The sequence below is a fragment of the Homo sapiens genome, chromosome 3, assembly GCF_000001405.40.
Source record: "Homo sapiens chromosome 3, GRCh38.p14 Primary Assembly".
NCBI lineage: Eukaryota > Metazoa > Chordata > Mammalia > Primates > Hominidae > Homo > Homo sapiens.
In genome coordinates, this window is record NC_000003.12 from 32,370,904 (window position 1) to 32,394,265 (window position 23,362).

Sequence of the window (23,362 nt, forward strand, 5' to 3'; positions counted from 1 at the left end):
CTTGGGAGGCTGAGGCAGGAGAATCACTTGAACCCAGGAGGCAGAGGTTGCAGTGAGCCAAGATCACACCACTGCACTCCAGCCTGCTGACAGAGCAAGACTGTGTCTCAAAAAAAAAAAAAAAAATTGCTGACCACAGTAACATGTGTGCTATCTTTTGTGAAAACTACTGGGCCAGGCCAGGCACAGTGGCTCATGCCTATAATCCCAGCACTTTGGGAGCCTGACTGAGGTGGGCAGATCACTTGAGGCCAGGAGTTCGAGATCAGCTTGGACAAGATGGCAAAACTCCATCTGTACCAAAAATACAAAAAAATAAGCCAGGCATGGTGGTGCACCCCTGTGGTCCCAGCTAATTGGAAGGCTGAGATAGGAGGATCCCTTGGACCTGGGAGGAGGAGGCTGCAGCTAGCCGTGATCATGCCACTGCACTCCAGCTTGAGCAACAGAGTGGGGCCCTGTCTCAAAAAAAAAAAAAAAACTAATAATAAGACACTGCTGGACCAAAAGGTTTCAATATTCCAAATCTCCAGTGCAAAAATATTATAACATCATTATTAGATATTATCAGTTAAGGAGAAGAACTCACATCAGCAAGACAGTATGAACTTAGAGGAAGTGTTTTTAGATAGGACGATTCTTGCTAGTACAGCAGTGTATCTTGGATGATTTTTCAATATGAGCTTTTGAAAAACAAAAAACCACAGAAACGTTAGTGTAGTTGATGAGCGTGAACAAAGCTGAAGCTGTGCGCTCTGTTGATATGACTCCCATGGCCTCTGCCTCTTGATCTCTCACCTGTTTAGCAGTGCTGTTTTTTTCTGTTTGTGCTGGTTCTCTTTTTCTAATTCCATATCCAAGCTCTGATTACCCCTACATAGGAGAGTTGAGATTTCTTCAGTGTCTAGTCATACCCACCCCAGACCTTTGAAAGTACCAATGAAGAATGTTCTGGGGTTGTGGACTAGGCCCGCCCAAAGAGGTAGTGGGGAAGGAAGCTCCAAAAATGAGAGGTGAGTGTAGGGTATGGATGTGTGAGCAGGTGGTGTCGGGGGGCACACAAGGCCACTCTGTGCCCAAAATGTAGCAAGCCATGGAAGGCTGAACTTCCATAACACAGACCTGTAGGCAACTGGTGATGTGATCTTTGGGGAGCTGATTCCCAGTCATCACTGATTTTGCAGAAAAGCTGAAATAACTAGTCACAGTTGGCATGCTCTGCCCTTCCGTCCAGCTCTCCCTCTCACACTCACCAAAGCATGTGCACCTTCCACATACCCTGTGGGTTTTTCAAGTACTTTATGTTGCAAACAACACTCCATAAAAGTCAGAAAAAACAGTAACCTACAGAGGCCTGCTTCTGGAAACAGAAAGAAGCCTGCTTTTATGCTCCACGCAAGCATGTGTGTGTCATTTCTATAATCACGGCCACATTTATAGAACGTAACTTCTGGGGTGAAAAGTGCCGTAAACCACACTCTGAAATGTCCTTCAAGTAGACTGTAATTTTAGTTCTTTCTTGAACTGGTAGCACCAAAGGCATCTGTTTCAAAAGAGCAATGCCTAGTTTGTGTCCATGCAGGGGCACTTGCTGTCTTGTCTTTATTGGTGTTTCTTCAGAAGCATGATCCTTTATGTTACCCTGAGAGTTCACTAAAACAATAACAGCAAAAAGCATTTATTTTTCACTGAAAAGAAATTATTATTTCATCTTTTGAATACTGAGACTTCGTTCATGAATAAGCTTTAAGTGTAGGTTTTTAGACAACAAAATGATTCTCTGTTGTTCAGATTGGAGCTGTAAGTTGTGAATTGGGTTTGCTTTAATTTTTTTCTCTTAAAAAACAAGAGAAAACAAAGCCACACACAATACAGTCAACATAAAAATAGGTTTCTGGGGGCTTGAAAAATATTATTACAGGGATAGTGTACAAGGTACTTAAACTCATCTCTGCCATCTGCGCTTGCCATCTGCATTCACCTCTCAGCCATTCCAAAACCTTCACGTCCTCTTTGGTGGAGCAGAGTGAGTTTTTAACTTGATATATTTACCCACTCATGGCAAATCAATAAAGTGCTTTAGGCAATTAATCTCTCTTTATTGCTATTTCCAACTTACTGCTCCCAAAAGATAAATATTTGGCCAACCTTTGAAAACTACAAGAAAATCTAGAGAAGAGGATGTTCGATATCAGTATTTATTTTTTATTTTTAAGTTGCTCCCTTCATAGGAAAATCCCTTCGGGGCATCAGCACACAAAAGATTATAAATACATGAAATATCTCTGTAATAGAAGGTAGACGTTTAGAAATGCTAACTGAAGATGCAGCCCTGGGTAGAAAATCAACTTAAAGTCCATATTTTTGTTTTCTAGACAATTATTATTTTGAAAAGATGAGTTTTCACAGAAAAAATTGGTTTTATTGAAATTTAATTGAAAAGATAAATTTTCACCGAAAAAAATCTGGACATATGATACATGCAAGCACATGCGCGCACACACACAAGCACACACACTCTGAAAGGTGGCAGCCTGAGCGTTTGTTAACTTGGCTGCACATTAATGTTCTGCTGGCAACATCTGCTGCCAAATGTGAATCGTAAGCAGACAGCTGTGAAGGAAGGTAAGATAACTTCCAGTGTTGATGATGACCTAGAATAATGGGGAAGATTATAATGCATGTTGTTATAAGTTGGGGGGTATATAAACTTGGGTTCTTGGTATATGTAAAAGAAGATAGGGTTTGGGAGAAAGTGCTTGGCATCACAGAGTGATGACTTTTCAGAAACTTAGGAAGGTAAGTGGGAAGAAAGGTGCTGATTAAAAAGATATTCCATCTGGAAGATATGTTTTGAGAAAACTTTCCTATCTATGGCAGAATTGTTTTTGCTAGAATATTCAGAATAGCTAAATGAACCCAGGGCATAGGGAACCTTGTGGCTGCCTCCCCAGCATCTTTTCTTCCTCCTCATATTCTCAAACTGCCCTAGTTTTTATTCAGTATCCAGACCACCCTCTTATAGCCCCAGTGTTTTGTGAGAGGCCGACTCCATTAGGACTCTAGGAATGGAGCCTACGGCTCTGCCTCAGCTCATCAGCATGAGACCACCCTCCTCCTCCACCACAGTGATTGGTTCAGAGATGGTCATGTGACCCACGGCTTGCTTGGGAGTTCTGGGAAAGAGGCATGCTGTGTACGTGTGTGTTATCTAATATACATTGACCCTTTATGCCAGGCACTGTACTAAAGGGCTTTCCATCTATTATCTCATTTAACTCTCAGAAGGGGAACCCTGCGCAGTAGATACTAGATTATCCTCACTTTACAGAGGAGGAAACTGAGGTACAAAGAGGTTAAGCAATTTTATAAAATGTTATAAAAGTCATCTAGCTAGCAAGTGTGGAGAGCAAGCATATTAACTGCTGGTGTTAATGTATTATGTATTTAAAGCACCTGGCACACAATTGGTGCTCAATAAATGATTTCCCTTCTTTTTTTAATGTTTTAATTGACAATAATTGCATGTATTTTGTGGTTATAATGTTATGTGGCTTTGGGGGGTTTTCTTACTTTTTATTTATTTATTTATATTTTTTGAGACAGGGTCTCACTCTGTTACCCAGAGTACAGTGGCACAATAATAGGCTCACTGCAGCCTCAACCTCCAGGGCTCAAGCAATCCTCTCACCTCAGCCTAGCTGGGACCACTGAGACCACAGTCGTCTACTACCAACCAACCACACCTGGTTAATTTTTTATTTTTTTCATAGACATGAGGTGTCACTACATTGCCCAGGCTGGTCTCGAACTCCTGAGCTTAAACGATCTTTGTGCCTCAGCCTCCCAAAGTGCTGGGATTACAGGCATGAGCTGTGCCTGGCCACAATGTGATGTTTTGATTTTTGTATACATTGTGGAATTATTAAATCCGTGCTTACTCTTTTTTTTCTTCTTCTTCTTCTTCTTCTTTTGAGACAGGGTCTCACTCTGTCACCCAGGCTGGAGTTGCAGTGGCAGAATCACGGCTCATTGAAGCCTAGACTTCCCGGGACTCAGATGATCCTCCCACCTCAGCTTCCCGACTAGCTGGGGCTACAGGCATGTGTCACCACGCCTGGCTAATTTTGTATTTTCTGTAGAAACAGGGTTTCGCTGGTCTCAACCTCTCAGGCTCAAGCGATCCACCTGCCTCTGCCTCCCAAAGCGCTAGGATTACAGATGAGAGCCACTGCCCCTGGCCTGCAGCTCTTTTGATGGAACTCTTAGAAGCAACAGTCCTCTCCTTGGGTGAGAAAATATGTAGCCAGGAAGTCGTTTGTAAAAATTTTGTGACCACAAGGGGGAGCCAGTCATAGGCTAACAGTAACGAAGAGTTAAGAGGTGGAAAGAAACTTCATCAATGATAACATCATTGAACCATTGAATCAATTCAGCCCTGAATGCTACCAAGCTCTGACTTTGCAATTACATGAGCAATTCTGCCCACTTAAACTAATTTCCATTACTTGCAACAACAGGCATCATAACCATTACTCAGGACATCCTGGCAAACACCTTTCAAGCAAGTCACCACAAGGGCCTGTATAGACGGTAGTGATGATGAGAGGAGCCAACTTTAGCACCAATGCTATTTAGCAGTAGAAGGGTAGAAAAAGGGAAATTTTGAAAGCCCATTTGACAGTGACTCGGGCCTTCCTAAAGTTATTGCTGAAGGTGGCAATAGCGTGGGAAAATCCTAGAAAAAGAAAGAGCTGGGAGGATGGGTACTCAAAGGAGTACCGCATGACCTATCTTTGGCCATTGCAATAGGAAAGCTGAGTGTGGAGGAGGAACATGAACCATCTGGCCTCCAGCCATTTTAACTTAGGAGAATTCCACCGTGTTGTCGTAAAGGCAAATAGTCACTGGAGAGGTGGCTTCTCTCTCTCTAGGTAAGTTGAGCATTAAGTGCCAAAGAACGTTGAGAATGAGGACTAGACCTAAACTCTTGGCATTTAGGAAAAAGAACTTAGATATCACATATGGTGCAATTAAATCCACAATGAGATACTACTTCACACCCTCTAGAAGGGGTAAATTAAAAAAAAAAAATACCAGGTGTTGGCGAGGTTATGCAGCATCTGGAATTTTTATACACCGCTGGTGGGAGTGTAAAATGGTATAATTACTTACAAAGTTAAACAATACTTGTAACCCAGCAATTCCAGTCCTAGATATCCACCCATGAGAAATATATCCACAAAAATATTGAGCAAGAATATGCATAGCAGCTGTATTCATAGTTGCCCCAAACTGGAAACAACCCAAATGGCTATCAAATGGTGAATGAATACATTGTGTATCTCTACAATGGAATACTGCTCAGCAATAAAAGGGAACAAACTACTGATATAGGCAACAATGTGGATGAATCACCAAAACGTTATGCTGAATAAAAGAAGCCAGACCAAAAAAAATCATTTGATTCTATTTATATGAAACCCTAGAAAAGGCAAAACAAAGCTATAGTGACAGGAAGCAGATCAGTGGTTGCCTGGAAATAGGGCTGGAGCAGTTGGCTTACAAAGAGGCACACGGAGATGTTCTGAGGTGACAGGAATATTCTACATCTTGATTGTGGTGGGGATTGCATGGGTGTATACATTTGTCAAAACTCACAAACTATTCACGTAAAATGGGTGTATTTTAATATACATTATAGCTTGATAAAGTTGATTTTAAAAGAAAAAAAGTGGAATATTTAAAAATGTCCACTCTTGCCCTTCTCCCATCTGCCATGCTGTTGAATTGTTTATTACCTCCTATATCCCATCTGGTTTGTGATCTTTTGGAGAGTTGGGAAGGTGAGGTTTCATCCCCGTCTTCCCTCTGGAGCTCAGCACAGTGCCTGGAATGTAGTATGTGTTCAATTAAATGTCTACTGTAGTGAAAAGACTGGGAAGTTAATGAAGAGTCCTAGAACACCGTGAAGGGTGAGTTAGAAGACAATAGAGGTAAACCAATAGAGAGGGCAAGCTTAAGAGAGGTCTGTGAAATGAGAGCTGTGGGGATGGGAGACTGCCAGGAGATGCAGGAGGCTACAGCTGGGTGATGAGGCCAGCAGGGACCTGGAAGTGAAGAGCTGATGCATCTGTGTTACCCAGAAATGATTGTCAGAACAGTGCTTGATAAATAGCAGCTACCAGGTGGCTAATGAACTGGGTACCTGGGAAAACACACAACCAGTACATAGGTTTCTAGAACATAGAAATGACTGTTTATGAGCTGTGGGGCCTAATAACCTCCAACCATTTAATGATACGGTACTAGGTTTAGCCATGTGAAATGGTCACTATTAGACTCTGTCCTACAAAAATGGCAATTTCATACAATTCGACCTACAACTTTATACTTGAGTTTCACACATAATATTAGTTGATCCTCAATCTTTGCCCTGGCCGGGCGCAGTGGCTCACGTAAATCCCAGCAGTTTGGGAGGCCGAGGCGGTTGGATTACCTGAGGTCTGGAGTTCGAGACCAGCCTGGCCAACATGGTGAAACCCCATCTCTACTAAAAATACAAAAAATCAGCCGGGCATGGTGTTGGGCGCCTGTAATCCCAGCTACTCGGGAGGCTGAGGCAGAAGAATCTCTTGAACCCGGGAGGCGGAGGTTGCAGTAGGCCAAGATCGTGCCACTGCACTCCAGCCTGGGTAACACAGCAAGATTCCATCTCAAAAAAAAAAAAAAAAAATCTTTGCCTTACATTAGGCAGGTGTCCATCGCTCCATTTATCTCGTAGAGACAATGGAGGCTCCACTGAGTTGTCAATGACTTGCCCATGGTTACTCAGTTAGAATAGCTTGGGCTGGCACTGAGATTTTCTCACTCCGTCCCAACTCCTCCAGCCTAGTTTACTGAAAACATCTGGACTGTGAGGAAAGGAACCAGGTGAAAACTGCAAGGTGTGGGGATAAGGTAGTACATTTCCAGAAATCTATTTGGCATTATATATGAAAAGCCGTATATATGTTTGTTCCCTTGATTTGGGGATGTATCTCTTAGGAGTTTAAGATTCATGCACAAAAATGTTAATCCTGTCTTTAATCCAGGGAAAACAACTGGAGTCAGCCTAAAACCCTAACAGTAGGAGAAAGCCGAAGTAAGTACTTACATCTACTCAATGAGCCTTTAGAAATTAATGTACTCCCAATATCCCCTCCCAAGATTATTCAGAATCAGAATCGGCTAACACCATTATTAATGACTCCACTTTGTATTTTTAACAGATACACTTCTCAAGCTGTGCTGAACCGTGGTTGCTAGATTGGTCATTAAATCGAAGATCAGTTAACATGTTGTCTTTCTAAAAATACGTGATGGAGAAAAGTTGTGCACACAAAAATATCAGTGGCACTGAAAACTGTTTACAAGGAGTTTTTAGTAGAAAATGTTTATGGTGTAACTTTGAATTTACAAAAGGCAGAGCAAACTTGAGTAGTAAAGAGTGGCAGGATCGCAAGGTGATTTTTTATTTTGTTTTTCTGTATTTCTCCCAATTTTCTCCAGTAAGCATAAAATACATTCATAATCTGGAAATAAATATTTTTAACTAAAAGACAAGATAAAGCAGTAGTCTTAGTAGGTTGAAACAATCAGTATCCTATTTGTGGAAAAATTAAAATCTTCCAGCCTCTTTGCAAAGACAAACAAGCAGCCTGGGCAATTGCATGAGGACCACTGAGGGGACTGCACCTGTTGCCTTTGCCTTTTTTTCGGCAGGAAGTATAGTCAGCTTTGGTCATCATTTATCTCATTTATGAAAGATTTCATGGATAAAGTAAGAAAGAGAGTCTGCCTGCCTGCAAATCACTCATTTACAAATTTTGAATAACAAGATTATTGTGAAAATTTACATCTGTATACTTACTTATAGTAGGAAAAAAAAAAAACTATGAGAATTTACATTTGTATTTCTAGCCTACATGGAGAGAAGTTCTTGCATTCACACTATTCTGCTGTCTTACACAATTCCAGAACATTCGTTCACCATACTTAGAGAAGGTATAACATGTAATAGTCTTCTGTGATTTCTTAAATAGCACTGGACTTTAACTTTTTAAAAATAAGGGGTAGCTGAGCATGATGGCATGTGCCTGTAGTCCCAGCAATTTGGGAGGCTGAGGTGAGAGGATTGCTTGAGTCCAGGAATTCGAGACCAGCCTGGGCAGCATAGCAAGACCCTGTCTCTATAAAAAAAAAAATAATTACAACAGAAAAATTAGCCTAGTGCGGTAGCACACGCCTATAGTCTCAACTACTTGAGAGGCTGAGATGGGAGGATTGCTTGAGCCCAGGAGTTCGAGGCTGCAGTGAGCTCTGACCATGCCACTGCACTCCGGCCTGGGCGGCAGAGCAAGACCTTGTCTCTAAAAAATAAATAAAATTTAAAAAATAAAATAAGGGATGATGGTCATTAAGAATAGTGCTGTAATCCAGCAAAGTCCCACCCCAAATGGCCTCATTCTTAATTCCTGTGTCTACTTTTCATAGATTTATAGGCTCTTTCCTCACTGTCCAGACTGACAGTACAGTCTGTCTTTTATGATCGTACATCTCCCCTCTGCAGCAGCCTAACCCCTTCTAATGAAGTGTTCTTAATTTTCACTAGACTCGTTGGAATGGTATATAAAATGAGAGCTGGCACAGGCTGAAGGGCAGCCTCTCCTACAAGTTAAGGGCATGATCCTTAATGCTTGAGCACTTAAACTTGGTCTTAACTAAACGTTTAAGTTTAGAGAGAAAATATTAGCAAAGTGCAAATCTAATAAGGGGGTAAATATAATAAAATATATAAGGAACTCAAGAAAAAAACAACACAGTTTTAAAACGGGCAAAGCACCCGAACAGACATTTCTCAAAAGAAGATATACAAATGGCCAACAGGTATATGAAAAAATGCTCAACATCACTAATCATCAAGGAAATGCAAATCAAAACCACAATTGGGTATCGCCTCTCACTTACTAGAACAGCCATTCTCAAAAAAGATAAGCATTGGGAAGGATAAGGAGAAAAGGGAACCTTGCACGCTTGGTGGAAATGTAAATTAGTCCAGCCATTACGGAGAACAGTACGGAAGTTCCTCAAAAAGTTAAAAATAGAACAACCCTATGATCCAACAATCCCACTTCTAGGTATATACCCAAAGGAAAATAACTCAGCATGTCAAAGAGGTATCTGCAGTTTCGTGTTCATTGCAGCATTATTCACAATAACCGAGAAGTGGAAGCAACCTAAATGTCCATCAACAGACAAAGGGATAAAGAAAATGTGGGCATACAATGGAATGCTGTTCGGCTTAAAAAAAAGAAGGAAATCCTGTCATTTGCAACAACAAGGATGAACCTGGATGACATTATGCTAAGTGAAATGTCAGGCACCAGAAAGACAAATACCGCAGGATCTCACTTATATGCGGAATCTAAAGAAGTCACACTCCATAGAAGCAGAATAGAACGGTGGTTGCCAGAGCCTGATGGGAGGAGAGAGGAATGTTGGTCAAAGGGCACAAAGCTTCAGATAGACAGGGGGAAAAAAGTTGAAGCCTTGGTTAAAAGGCTTTTATTTTTCGTGCTTGTTTCCTTTTTATTGTTACTATAACGTTTACAGTTTTTAAATATATTTACATTCAGAAATAAGGCAAAGAGGTATCCCCAAGTTTTAAGGATAAAAACAGTTTTTAATTTTTGAAGAAATGCTTTTGATATTTTGAGAATGGTCAAGAGATTTGTCTTCTGAAAGAATTATTTATTGGTTCTGAATGCAAAACATAAATGGTGTATTCGTTTGCTGGGGCTGCCATAACACAATACCACAGACTGGGTGGCTTAATCAACAGAAATCTATTTTCTCACACTTCTGACTAGAAGCCCAAGATCAAGGTGTCGGCGGATTGAGTTTCTTCTGAGGCCTCGCTCTTTGGCTTGTAGATGGCCACCGTCTCACTGTGTCCTCACTTAGTCACCTTCTCACTGTGTCGCCTGTTCCTAATCTCCTCTTCTTACAAAGACACCAGTCATATTGAATTAGGGCACACCTTACCAACCTCATTCTAACTTAATTACCTATTTAAAGGCCCTGTCCCCAAATACAGTCATATTCCGAGGTACTGAAGGTTTGGACTTCAGCATATGAATTTGGTGGGGGGCCAGGGGAGGCATAATACAGCCCATAACAAATGGCAATGCTTTTTTCTCCCCAGATAAATGTATTTTCCCTCTGTCTCTGTCTGTCTCCCTGTCTCTCTGTCTCCACTTTTTTCTCTCCTTTCTCTGCTGGTAGCTTCATAAAGAAGTACCAGTTCTGGCAGAAAGCATTAGCACAAAGACTAATGATGCCCCACACTTGTGTGGTGTTCGATGGCCTTTCTCAACATTTCAAACCCATTTCTGGGTGAACATTTCACAAATGCAATCACTGAGGTCCGGACAATGTCACTTGCAGGCAGACCAGCAACTGGAGTCCCATTTGCTTATTCCAGAGGTCGAGAAAAGCCAAACTGGCCTTAACGCAGACCTTCTCACTGCTTAAGGAATTAGGGGCTCCTCCCCTTGTCCCATCCTTTCTACGGGTACAGCCAAAAGCATGAGGAAGCAACCCACCTGCAAGTTATAACCAATAGAGAGCACTCACAAAGCGGAATGTCCACAGGGAGGCCACAGTCTGTCTACCTGGGGAGATATGGCAAATAATCACACAGGAAGTTATCAGAAAATGAGAGTCGACTGTCTAAAGCTTCACTGCCTGATCCATCAAATGTCACCATTCCCTCACTGGCCAATGTCAAACCTTCTCTTTTTGTCAATCATGTTGAAGCACACAAACATCAGTGCTGGTTGACAGTCAACTTTATGGTGGTTTTTCTAGAGATACATTGTGGGGAGATGGGGTAATGCAGGGACCACCTGTGCAATTCAGCACCAAATTATCTCTTGCCGGCTGGAACTAAGTACAAGTGGCCACAGCCAGGAAATAATTGTTAGCAAATTTTATTGTCCACCCGCAACTGTGCACAGAGCTCTGTTTTGGGAACCTGACGGGATATCGGACAATGCACGTAAGCTGGGCGAGGGCGACGCAAAAGAGGGTGGGACTAAGCCAAGGGCAACCCAGAGGGGTGTTTTGTTTTGGTTTGTTTTGTTTTGCTAGATTCTTGCTCAAAGTGCTGTTTGCACTTGTCTGCCAATGCTCCCAACATGCCAAGCCCAACCACTTTCATCCCAGCCTATTTCAGAGGCCACTAACAGGAACCAAATACCTGAATAAGTATAATTTCATTTAGTCCTTAGCCCAATGAGGTAAGCTATGTGAACCCCATTTTGCAGATGTGGAGACTGATGTGCAGAATGGCTCTGAGGCCCCTAAATTCCAATCCAGGTCTTCTAAATCTGAATCCAGTGCTCTTTCCACTTTTTTTCTTGAATTCCCAGATGTTTCCTCTAATGTATTCCCCCCCTCTTTTTTTTTTTTTTTTTTTTTTTTTTTTTGAGGTAGAGTCTTGCTCTGTCACCTAAGCTGGAGTGCAGTGGCGCGATCTCGGCTCACTGCAACCTCCGCCTCCCGGGTTCAAGCAATTCTCCTGTCTCAGCCTCCCGAGTACCTGAGATTACAGGTGCACACCACCACGCCCAGCTAATTTTTTATTGTTAGTAGAGGTGGGGTTTCGCCATGTTGGCCAGGCTGGTCTCGAACTCCTGACCTCAGGTGATTCACCTGCCTGGGCCTCCCAAAGTGCTGGGACTACAGGCATAAGCCACCACACCCAGCCTGTTCCCCACTTTTAAGTAGACGGTTATTCTGCTTGCTCAACAGATAATGCAGACTGAGCTTTCATGTTTAGAGTAAGAATTTAATAGAAGAGTGAAGTTGATCTTCCCTGTTTAATGACAGTCACAATTATTTGTGGGCTGCATAGCAATTAAGCATAACGAAGTAGTAAACAGGTCTCCCCCTGTCTAATTTAAAAATTATAAAGCTCCACTACTGCATACCAGGCATTGTGATTGGTGCTGAGGATGTCAGGATGAAGGCCAAGAAGAGCCTGCACACTTTAGAAGACTTAGTATGTGCCAGGCACTGTGCTGAGGACTTTCCATGCCTTAATTTATTGAATCCTCACAGAAGGCTTTACAGATTGTATTTTCCAAAGATGATCACAACAATATCATCATGCACCTTCCTAATCCAGTGGTGGAGTTTATTTCAGCATCCCCTTCAATGTGGGCAGGCCCTGACTAGTAGCATACAGAGGGAGTAAAGATGTTCAGTTCCAGGCGTAGTCCTTATCTGTCTTGGCAGCTTCTTCTTGCTTCCTGGAATACCTATTCTGCAATGCTTCCTCTCAGAACCCAGCTATCATGTTCTGAGAAGCCCAAGCCGTGTGGAGAGGCTGTATGTGGGCATTCCAGTGACAGCCCTCACTGAGCTCCCAGCCAACTGCCAGCATCAGCTGTCAGCCATGTGAGAGCCATCTTGGATGTCCAACCCAGCTGAGCCTTCAGATGACTGTATCCCCAGCTGCATTCTGACTACAACAGCATGAGACTCCAAATGAGAACCAACCAGCTGAGCCCAGTCAAATCACAGAGCCATGAGAGATAACAATAGATTATTTTAAGCCACAAACCTTTGGGTTGCTTTGATATGCAGCAGAAAATAATTGGATTAGCAAACATTGGTATGAGTTTTCATTCCCATTGGGACAGATGGGAAAGGTTGACCCATCTGTCCCATCTGGGTTTAGAAATTTCCCAGCTTCACAGAGCTGGTAGGTGGCAGATTTAGGATTTAAACCCAAGGCAGCATGACCCTGACTGCCGAGTTTCCACACATGACTTCTTTCTATGAGCTCCCAGTCTCAAAAGAGTCAACTAAAGTGAGATATGTCACACACTTCCAGTGTGGGCAAAGGGCTGGGTGCACATACAGGAGTCAGGTAACTCACCCACATTTGCCATATTGTCTTGCCACCTATCTAGCCTCATGTAGCATCTCCCACTTCTTTGGACCTCATGCTTAAGCCTGCATGAACTTCATCCCCTCTAATCTGTCATGCCCGAGTACTTACCTGGAACTCTCTTCTCCACCCACCCAAGGCTGGTTAACACCTCTTTATCCTTCAGTATGCAGCTAAGATGGCCCCTCCTCCAGGAAGCCTTCCCTGACTTCCCCATCACATCCCTGACAGGGTAAGGTATCTCCCCATGGGCTCCCATAGTACCCCACTTTTATTCTATCATTAGCATTTTTCATACATATTGCCTGTTTTCTCAGTCTGGGCAAAGAACATGTACTCCTGTGCCTGACACAGGTCCTGGCACTTTGTCAGTGCTCAATAAATATTGCCATGGGGATTGCTCATCACTCACAGAAGGCTTCTCAGAGGCCGTAACATTTTGGCTGGACTTTGTGAGACTGGCGGGCATTTGCCAGGTTAGCAGTTTTCAACCAGGGTCATATACGCATCGAAATCACCCGCGCAACTCTTCCCAAACATGGATGTCCAGCCCCGCCTGAGCACACTGAATCAGAATCTCCAAGGCTGAGCCTGGGCAGGTATAGTTTTCATAGGTTTCACAGGTGATTGCAAATGACAGCATGGGCTAAGGAAAGATAAAAAAGAGATCTCATTATCATCATCATACTCATCATCTTACTGTCAGCAACAGTTCTCAGCATTTGACATATCTTAACCCCTTTGATCCTCACAGTGTTCATTGTCTACATAAAGCACAAATCCTAAGGTGGGCATCCACAGTCCTGTGGTATCTCTCCAGCCAAGGTCCCCAGCCCTTTTCCCCAAGTCCCCACACTCCAGCCACGCCAAAGGACTGGGAATTCCTGGAATCCGTGGTGCGGTTTCATGCCTCCTTTCTTGACATATGTCATTCCCTCTTTTGCCCACCCCATAAATTTTTAATCGCCCTTCAAGACCTAGTTCCAAGCACATATTCTTTTTTGAAACTTTCTCCTCCCAGTTCAAGACAAGCTGGTTACTCCCAGCTTTGGGCCATCCCTTACAGGGATGCTACAGCTCTGCATTAATCCCACAAATATAAACTGAGTACTACTTTGGGCCAGGCACTCTGCTAAATACTGGACACAAACAGGGAGCCGTCTAACCCAGACCTCGACTCCTCCCAACAGAGATGACAGAGATGACGACCACAGCCTCCTCGGTTATCTGACTCTATTTCCCTGTGTTGCTATGGTTACAAACTCCCTGGGGGAGGGAGTTCCTCTTCTGGGAAGTGTTCAGTCAGGCATGTGGAAGGCTCTCCGTAACATTTGCTGAGTGAGGGTTGTGAGCAAATAACAAGGTGAATCCTCCTCTCCTCCCTTCCTCTCTCAGTAAAACTTTTCCCCAGCAGCTCTCAAAATTCCTTGGATTACCTAAATCCAAGAAATCTTTTATTTCACCCTTGAAGATGGTCTTTGATGCTTATGGTTATGGAAATGGCAACGTACAGGAGTCCCTCAGCCCTCAGATAATGAAGCCTCATTGTTCGATACATAAGGACTTAGGAAAAATGATAAAATAGGTAACATTTACTACTATGAGCCAGATGCTACTCTAGACCGTTTCCATATGTCTTATCCCATTTAGATCTCGCAGTTACCCTGAGGGGTCATTTCTATTGTTGTTCCTCTTTACAGAGAAGGAAATGGAGGCTGAGAGAGGCTTGCCCAAGGTTGCACATCTAGCAAGTGATGGAACTAAGGGCCAAACCCAGGCAGTTTGGTTCCAGAGTCCTGCCTCTCAGCCACACAGCCAGGCAGCACAAAGACAAAGGTTTCAGGGTCCCACCTGGCGCTAAAGACCAGGTATCCTGGCTGGCCCCGCTGTGGTGAGTACATGCCGCTCTCCCTCTGCTGGGCCTCAGCCACTCTCTTCTGCTCTGCCTCTCCTTATTTCCTCTCATGGCCCAACCAGCCTCCTGGCTTCCACCTTCTCTCTATGTCCCAATTGCTAAACCCCTCTCAATGCCTCACATTCAAACTCCGCAGGACAGAGGATCATCAGTGGAGCTCCCACTCTTACTAGGCAAAGTTCCCTTATAAGGCCACTCCAAACACTACTGGCCAACCCACTGATGGGCTGCCCTTGGCTCAGGAGCCAGCCTGATGCAATAAATTTCCAATGGATATAAGGCAGCTGATTGGTGATTCTCAGAAGGACCTGAGAGTTTGACTGGTTTACGGAACCTAATAAACTTTTTAAAAATTCACTGGAGGCCAGGCGCGGTGGCTCACACCTGTAATCCCAGCACTTTGGGAGGCCGAGGCGGACGGATCACAAGGTCAGGAGATTGAGACCATCCTGGCTAACACGGTGAAACCCCGTCTCTACTAAAAATTCAAAAAATTAGCTGGGCATGGTGTCGGGTGCCTGTAGTCCCAGCTACTCAGGAGGCTGAGGCAGGAGAATGGCATGAACCCAGGAGGCGGAGCTTGCAGTGAGGCGAGATCGCGCCACTGCACTCCAGCTTGGGCGACAGAGTGAGACTCCATCTCAAAAATAAATAAATAAATAAATAAATAAATAAATAAATAAACAAACAAATAAAGAAATTCACTGGAAAAGGATTTTAAAGGCTGATATTGGAAGAGTTTCATGGACACCTGATGCCTTTGTCTGCCTGGCATAGCTCAGACTTCCTAACAAAATGCCATGGCCAGGTGGCTTAAACACCAGAAATTTATTTTCTCAGAGTTCTAGAGTCTGGGGAGTACAAGATCAAGGTGCTGATCGATTTGGTTCCTGTTGAGGGCTCTCTTCCTAGCTTGCAGAAAGCTACCTTCTCGTTGTATTCTCACATGGTGGAGAGAATGCCAGCAGGTTCTCTGGTGTCTTTTTTATAAGGACACCAATCCCCCCCTGAGGGCCCCACCCTCATGATCTCACCTAAGTCTAACTATTGCCCACAGGCCCCATCTCCAAATGTCATCACATTGGGCGTTAAGTCTTCAACTTTTAAATGATGGGGGGACACAAACATTCAGTGCATAACACTGCCTAATATTCACTCCGCTTTCTGATACTCGCACCCTGGTTTTCCTTTTGGGAACCACCCCTTCCTCACTCAGCTCCTGTGGTTCTACTGGGCTGAACCTATCCCACCCCCAGCTTCATGGGTAGGTAGAACTTGACCTGGCCACCAAAAATGTTCCACTCCTCTGGCCATAGTAATTCGTTGAAAGATGGAACCATGACCCATATTTGGACTAATGAGAGATAGTGCCTATTATGGACTGAATTGTGTGTCCTCCCTGCCCCAAATACATAGGTGGCAGCCTTACCCCCAAGTGTGACTGTATTTGGAGATGGACTCTTTGGGGAGATAATATGGTTAAATGAGGTCATAAGAGTGGGGCCAGAATCCAATAGGACTGGTGTCCCTTTAGGAAGAGACACCAGAGATCTCTCTCTCTCTTTCCATGTACACAGAGAAAAGGCCATGTGTGGACACAGCAAGAAGGTGGCCATCTAAAGTCATGAAGAGAGGCCTCACCAGAAACCAGCCCTGATGGCAACTGGATTTTGAACTTCTAGTCTCCAGAATTGTGAGAAGTGAATTCTTGTTGAGAAGCCACCCAGTATGTGATATTTTGTTATGGCAGCCTAAGACAGTACCAGAGCCACTGGAAAAGACAGGCTGAAATAACGAAGGCAGGATTATTGTGTAAGCCTGAGCTGTCAGAGCTCATGAGAGGGCCTGCCTGAAAAGCCAACACAGAGCAGAGTGAAGCCAGGAGATGGAGGTCCTGACTGTGCCTGAGGAGCACCTGGATCCAGCCATGCCTGAAGTGGGTGTATACCTCTGCATATCACAGTTACTCAAGCCAATGAATTATTTTGTTTTGCTTTTTATTAGTTTGTTTGTTTGTTTTTGAGACAAGGTCTCACTCTGTTGCCCAGGCTGGAGTGTAGTGGCACGATTATGGCTCACTGTAACATTGAACTCTTGGGCTCAAGTGATCTTCCCCCCGCTCAGCTTCTTAAGTTGCTTGGACTACACATCTGGCCAATTTTTTCATTTTTTGTAGAGATGGGGGTCTCACTATGCTGCCCAGGCTGGTCACAAAATCCTGGCCTCAAATGATCCTCCTGCCTCGGCCTTCCAAAATATTGGGATTATAGGCATGAGCCACCGTGCCAAGCCTATTTTGTTTTTTGTTTTGTTTTGTTTTTAAAGACAGGGTCTTGCTATGTTGCCCAGGCTGGCCTGGAACTTCAGGGCTCAAGAAATCTTCCTACCCCAGTCTCCTGAGTAGCTGGGACTACAGGCATGCACCACTGCTCCCAGCTTGAATGAACTCTTCTTTTTGCTTGATTTTAGTTTGTCTCATCAAAAGCACTGTGACTAATACAGAGTCAACTCTAATTTTATTACTTTTTTCATTATATCTGATCAGATATAACATCATAAACACACTGGTGAAGAAGAGTTATAGTCAGAGTACCACTCGAATTGAAGCTTTAAACTGTCAATAAGCCACCTGCAATCCCTCGGTGTAGAGAAAAGGAGAACTTGGACATCTTGATTTCTCACCAGGTATTCAGAGGTCACCTACCTGGTTGGTTCCCTCTTAGAGTGTGACATCTTTAAAGTGGGCTATGAAGCCCTTTGCCTAAGACCTTGCTTTCCCAAGGGGCAGCTATTCACATCTAGCAGACAACACACTAGTGTAGACATCTCAGTGCACTTGGCAAGCCTCTGAAGCCTCTTCTTGTAAGTCAGGCCAGCAATGGCCCTTGCACTGGCAAGCATCTTGCTCAAGCTCTTAAGTGATCATAATAAAGTGATTAACACAGAGTGCCCAGCACAGTGATTACTTCTGATTAGAGGTGGGTGGTGCATTAGTCAACACCAGGCAGAAAAGCCCAGCAATGTTTCTGAGCAGACTCAGGAAGAGATAGTTGTTCTCAAACTTGAGTATGCATCAGAATCACAGAATGATGGTGAAGGGGGGTGGGGAGTGAGGGTGGGGTTGGGAAGACTTGTTAAGACACACACTGCTGAGCCCTACCCCTAGAGTTTCTGATTCAGCAGGTCAGAGTGGGCCCCTAGAATCTGCATTTCTCACAAGTTCGCAGGTACTGCTGGTTGGGGGGCTATACACTGAAAATCACTGTTAGAAGACTGCTGAATTGGACAAAGGCCCCTCAAAGGAGAAATGATCCAGCACTTGGTTTTTCTGCTTCCCTGAAACCCTCATCTCAACAAAGATGCCCTGTTATCTCCACTGTGGGTCCTGAAGCCTTAGACAAGTACAGAAGTGAAATGTACATCTACATAAAAAAATGATACACAGTACTAACTTCATGCCTGTGGGTATAGAGCCAGAAATGTCACAGCACACCTGCATATCTATCACATTGTCACAGCAGCCCCTAGATGCAATTATTCCTGAATTACAGAGAAACAAATGGAGGTACCAGGCAGCTGTGACTGTTGTCTACAGAGAAGACACACGTGGAAGGCAATTTTTCTTGGTCATGAAAATTGTCAAATGTACATAAAGGTGAAATAAATAGTGTAATAAATCCCCAAATGTTTCAACTGCAGTGGACTCTGGCAATGACAGTGGTTCTCAAATTTGAGTGTGCATCAGAATCACCTAAGAGACTTGCCAAAACAGATATTGCATGGGTATCATCCACCAACAAGAATTATTAGGACTTTGCCACATCGAAAACTCTTCTGATGACAAGACAGCACTGGCAGGGAATAAACTCACAAAGATAGTTTTATGTTTCACTTTGCTTTGTTTTGTTCTTGAGGCAGGGTCTTGCTCTGTCACCCAGCCTGGAGTACAGTGTTGTAATCATGACTCACTGCAGCTTCAACCTCCCGGGCTCAAGCAATCCTCCCACCTCAGCCTCCTGAGTAGCTGGGACTACAGGCATGTGCCACCATGCCCAGTTAATTTTTGTATTTTTTTGTAGAGATGGGGTTTCTCCATGTTGCCCTTGCTGGTGTCAAACTTGGGCTTGTGAGCTTGATTTTGGGATTACAGACATGAGCCACCGTGCCCAGCCAGATTTTTTGATGTTATCTCCAAATGAATAAATGTAAGTATGGCCACAGGGACACTGCTCAAAAGGAACATGATAACATACCTCGTTTTGGTAGTCCCGTTTGGGCCTGTCTTCATTTTTATGTTTTTTTCCTTTTCTTTTTCTTTTTCTTTTTTTAAGAGACAGTGTCTCACTCTGTCACCCAGACAAGAGTGCGGTGGCAAGATCATAGCTCACTGCAATCTCGGACTCCTGGCCTCCAGGGATCTTCATGCCTTGACTTCCCAAAGTGCTGGGATTATAGGTGTGAGCCACCACGCCTGGCCTCTTCATTTTTAAAACAACCCAAAAGGGATACAGAATAGAATGTCACTTGGATAGCTGTTTGACAGCTTTTTCTTTTTCTTGTCTTTTTTTTTTTTTTTAATTGAGACAAGGTCTTGCTCTGTGGCCCAGGCTGGAGTGCAATGCCACTGTCATGGCTCACTGCAGCCTCAACCTCCTGGGCTCCAAGGCTCCTCCAGACTCAGCCTCCTGAACAGGCATGTGCCACTGCACCCAGCTAATTTATTTATTTATTTATTTTTATTTTTATTTTTATTTTGAGACAGAGTCTCGCTCTGTCGCCCAGGCTCGAATGCAGTGGCGCAAGCTCTGCTCACTGCAAGCTCCGCCTCCCGGGTTCACGCCATTCTCAGCATCCCGAGTAGCTGTGACTGCAGGCGCCCGCCACCACGCCCAGCTAATTTTTTGTATTTTTAGTAGAGACGGGGTTTCACCGTGTTAGCCAGAATGGTCTCGATCTCCTGACCTCGTGATCCGCCCGCCTCGGCCTCCCAAAGTGCTGGAATTACAGGCGTGAGCCACCGCGCCCGGCCCAGCTAATTTATTTTTATTTTTTGTTTTTTGTAGAAATGAGGTCTGGCCATGTTCCCCAGGCTGACAGCTTCTAACAGAAGCAAACATATGCTCCCCTTGTAACCAGTGCGTTCACTTGCAGATATTTGTCCCAGAGAAATGAGAGTTTGTATCCACCAAAAAAACGTGTACCATAATAGTGACTATAGCCAGAAAAGAGATGAGGGAGGGGGGAAAGGCCGGAAGGAGGGAAGGAGGCAGGCAAGCAGGTAGGAAGGAAGCAAGCTTGGTGTCCATCAACTGGGTAAACGTTTAAAAAATACGGTATCTTTGCACAGTGGAGTACTACTCAGCAATAAAAAGGAAGGAACTGATATGAACTACTTATATTCCCAACAGGATGGATCTTCTAATTTGTTATGTTGAAGGAGAATATTCTGTATTACTTCAAGTTTATGAAGTCCAAGAACAGGCAAAATGAACCTACAGTGACAGAAAGCAGAATACACTGTAGTGGTTGCCTGAGGCTGGATAAGGATGGGGCCAGGGAAGGAAGGTAGGTCAGGAAGGCCCACCACGGAACTTTCTGGGGTGATGGGCACGTTCTATTTGTTGATCTGGGCGACGGTTACACAGGTGTACACATATATAAAAATTAGTGGAGCTGAACACGTAAGGTCTGGGCATCACACTTTATGTAAGTTAAACTTCAGTAAAGTGCTCTCAGCACACATCCGCAGCCGCACCCACACAAAATCCCAGGAGGCTCAGTACCAGCTGTGGTCCGGGCCTTGCCCACCTCGGAGAGGCCACGACCCAAGGCATCCGGTTTCCTCTCGCTCCAGTCTAACTTCCGCGCATCTACGAGGGCCGGGACTGCCGCTACCTTTCTGGAAGGCGCCGGCCGGCCAGTCACCGGAGGGATCCCGCCAGAGGCGGCTCCGCGTCTCCAGCAGCGGGGCAGGGACCCGGGCGCCCCGCCCTCGCCAGCGCCCGCCCCCGCCCGCCCCCGGCCCGCCCTCTGTATCTGGCCCCTGGGCAGCTGCCCGGGGAGGCGGCCAGCGAGCTGGGGCCGCGCAATGTCGCACGGAGCCGGGCTCGTCCGCACCACGTGCAGCAGCGGCAGCGCGCTCGGACCCGGGGCCGGCGCGGCCCAGCCCAGCGCGAGCCCCTTGGAGGGGCTGCTGGACCTCAGCTACCCCCGCACCCACGCGGCCCTGCTGAAAGTGGCGCAAATGGTAAGTGAGCGCGGGGCGCGAGGCCGAGGTTCTACAGGGCGTCCCGGGAAAGCAGGGGTCCGGGAGCGGACGCGCCGGGCGTCTGGACCCGGCCGGAGCCCAGGGAGCATCGCGCAGCGGGCGGGGCACCGCGTCGCTAAAGTTCGCGGCAGGCTTCCTCCGGGAAAGTTGCTGCCGCAGCCCCCGCGCTGGAGCTCAGTCCCCAGAGCCGCCCCGGCCCTTGCTCCCGCGGACCCAGGTCGCCAGGGTCGCAAGTTTCTCCGGCCACCCCCCTGCGAAGCCTGACCCGCCTACTGACTGAAACCACGGGCAAAGTTCCTTTTCGTCTTTCTTCCTCTTCTCTGGGCCGCGCCGCTTCGAACCCGAGCCGGGGGTGGAAGAGTCGCCCAGGCGGCGGCGCTGAGGGAGCGAAACCCGACCTCTTCCCCGTCCACGGCCTCCTCTTTCCTCCGAACCCAGCGCGGCAGGGCTTCCCTGCTCTGTGTGCAGTTTCGCTCGAAGGAGGAGGTCAGAGGGTCTTGTGTTCCATAGTGGGGAAAAAGAACTGGGACCGTTGAGACGGCCGTCCTGGTCCCCTGCGCCCTCAAGTTCCGAGGGAGGGCCCGGGTCTCAGGGGGCTCTGGAGGGCAGGGGGTCAGTTGGGAAAGGCCTGTTGTCAGGGGCTGGTACTCATGTAGGGGAGCCAGACTGTTGAATGGGAGTCACCCGTGGAGCCAGGCAGGATGAGTGTCTGGGCTTGGATTGTGACCAACTCAGCACAAGGGCCTCCTACCAGGGCAGACGTTGCCTGGCCGATTCTCTTGTTCCCCACTCTTTTCTTTTCTCCCCTCCCGTTTTTTTCTTCTTTAAAAGTTTGTAATCTGAAACAACTTTTCCGTTTGTATGATGTGTTTTGAAACTGGGTTGGGCTGTTTGTGAGTCTCCACCATTGTAATGTTTGCACCAAGAACGGTGGGGAGGGGAGCGGTAAGTTTCAAAAAGAGGTGTGGGGAAAGGAGTGTGGGGCTGGACAAGGTCACACACCCAGAAGCTGGGGCCTGCTAAGGTGGCCTGGCCCCAGGGGGTTGGGCACAGGACGTCTGTGCATCTATAGCACTGCCATTCCAGACACTGAGTGTGCATGAGGTGGCCCTCATGTCTTGCTTGGGCCAGACCTAAAGAGAAGGGGCGCTGAGTTCCTGCCTCCCTAAGAACGGTGTCTAGATAGACCAAAAACTAGGAAGAGCCATTTCAGCAACGTACAAAAAAATCTGGTGCTGAGCATTGTTGGGTTTGAGCAGGGCATTTTTTGGCCCAGGCTAAGAGATTTGATCAGCCAAATAGAAGAGACCAGCCCATCTCACCATCCTTAAAAGATGGGCTGGGGTGAGACATATCCTACCTGAGCATTGGAAGGGATGAGTTTGGTAGACAGAGAATGGGATCAGAAGCCTCCATCTTGGCCCCTGAGTTTGCTGGACAAAGATATTGTGGGATGAAAAGTCTTCTTGTTGGTCTATGAGTTTGGTACACAAACATAATGGAGATGAAACCTCGGCAACATAGCGAGACCCCATCTCTACAAAAAAAATTTTAAAACCTTGTGTGGTTGGCATGGGCCTCTAGTCCCAGTTACTTGGGAGGCTGAGGTGAGAGGATTGATTGAACTGAGAAGGTCAGTGAACTGTGCCACTGCACTAGTCTGCGTGACGGAGGGAGGCCTGTCTCAAAAAAAAAAAAAAAAAAAGGTACAAAGAAAAGGTAATGGAGATGAGAAGCCTTCATGTGGTCCATGATTTTGATGAATAAAGATACTGGGAGATGAGAAATCTCCATCTCATCTTAAGCTCCTCAGCTAGCCTCTGGCCTGTGGTCCTTGGGCCAATTTGCAAGTGGCAAGAGTGGGGCCTGTTGTTCCAAAAAAGAGAACAAAGACTTGAATAATTTCTTTATCTGGTTGCTTATTCTCTATGTGCTCCTCTTAAAACCATGCTGAGGAGTCTTACACCTGCCCTGGAGGATTCCCCATCACTGCTGCAGGCTTGTTTGATCAGACCCTCTGGGAGCAAAGTTGCCCTTGCAGGATGGCTGTATTAGTCCTAGTTAGGGCTATCTACTTGGGCCTCTTATCTAACTCCTCCCTATTTTCCCACTTCTCCTCTTTTCTAAGACTCTGCTTGGGCATTTGAGGTTCATTTGTCTTCTTTGCTGGAAAATGCTT

The 23,362-nt window shown here is 45.5% G+C and overlaps 1 protein-coding gene and 1 long non-coding RNA gene across 3 annotated transcripts in view; both read left to right on the forward strand.

Annotated features, from left to right (window-relative positions):
* The first annotated feature begins 454 nt into the window (after positions 1-454).
* Positions 455-7,600, forward strand: LOC124909361 (uncharacterized). Its single transcript, XR_007095859.1, has 2 exons — positions 455-7,144; positions 7,272-7,600. It is a non-coding gene; the product is annotated as an uncharacterized LOC124909361 (long non-coding RNA).
* A 13,349-nt stretch (positions 7,601-20,949) lies between these two features.
* The window catches only part of CMTM7 (CKLF like MARVEL transmembrane domain containing 7), a 63,676-nt gene continuing 61,263 nt past the window's right edge, over positions 20,950-23,362 (forward strand). For both annotated transcript variants that reach the window (NM_138410.4, NM_181472.3), the window contains exon 1: positions 20,950-21,162. In NM_138410.4, coding sequence (NP_612419.1) covers positions 21,004-21,162 — 159 coding nt within the window. In that variant the 5' untranslated portion in view covers positions 20,950-21,003. The remainder of the gene's footprint in view (positions 21,163-23,362) is intronic.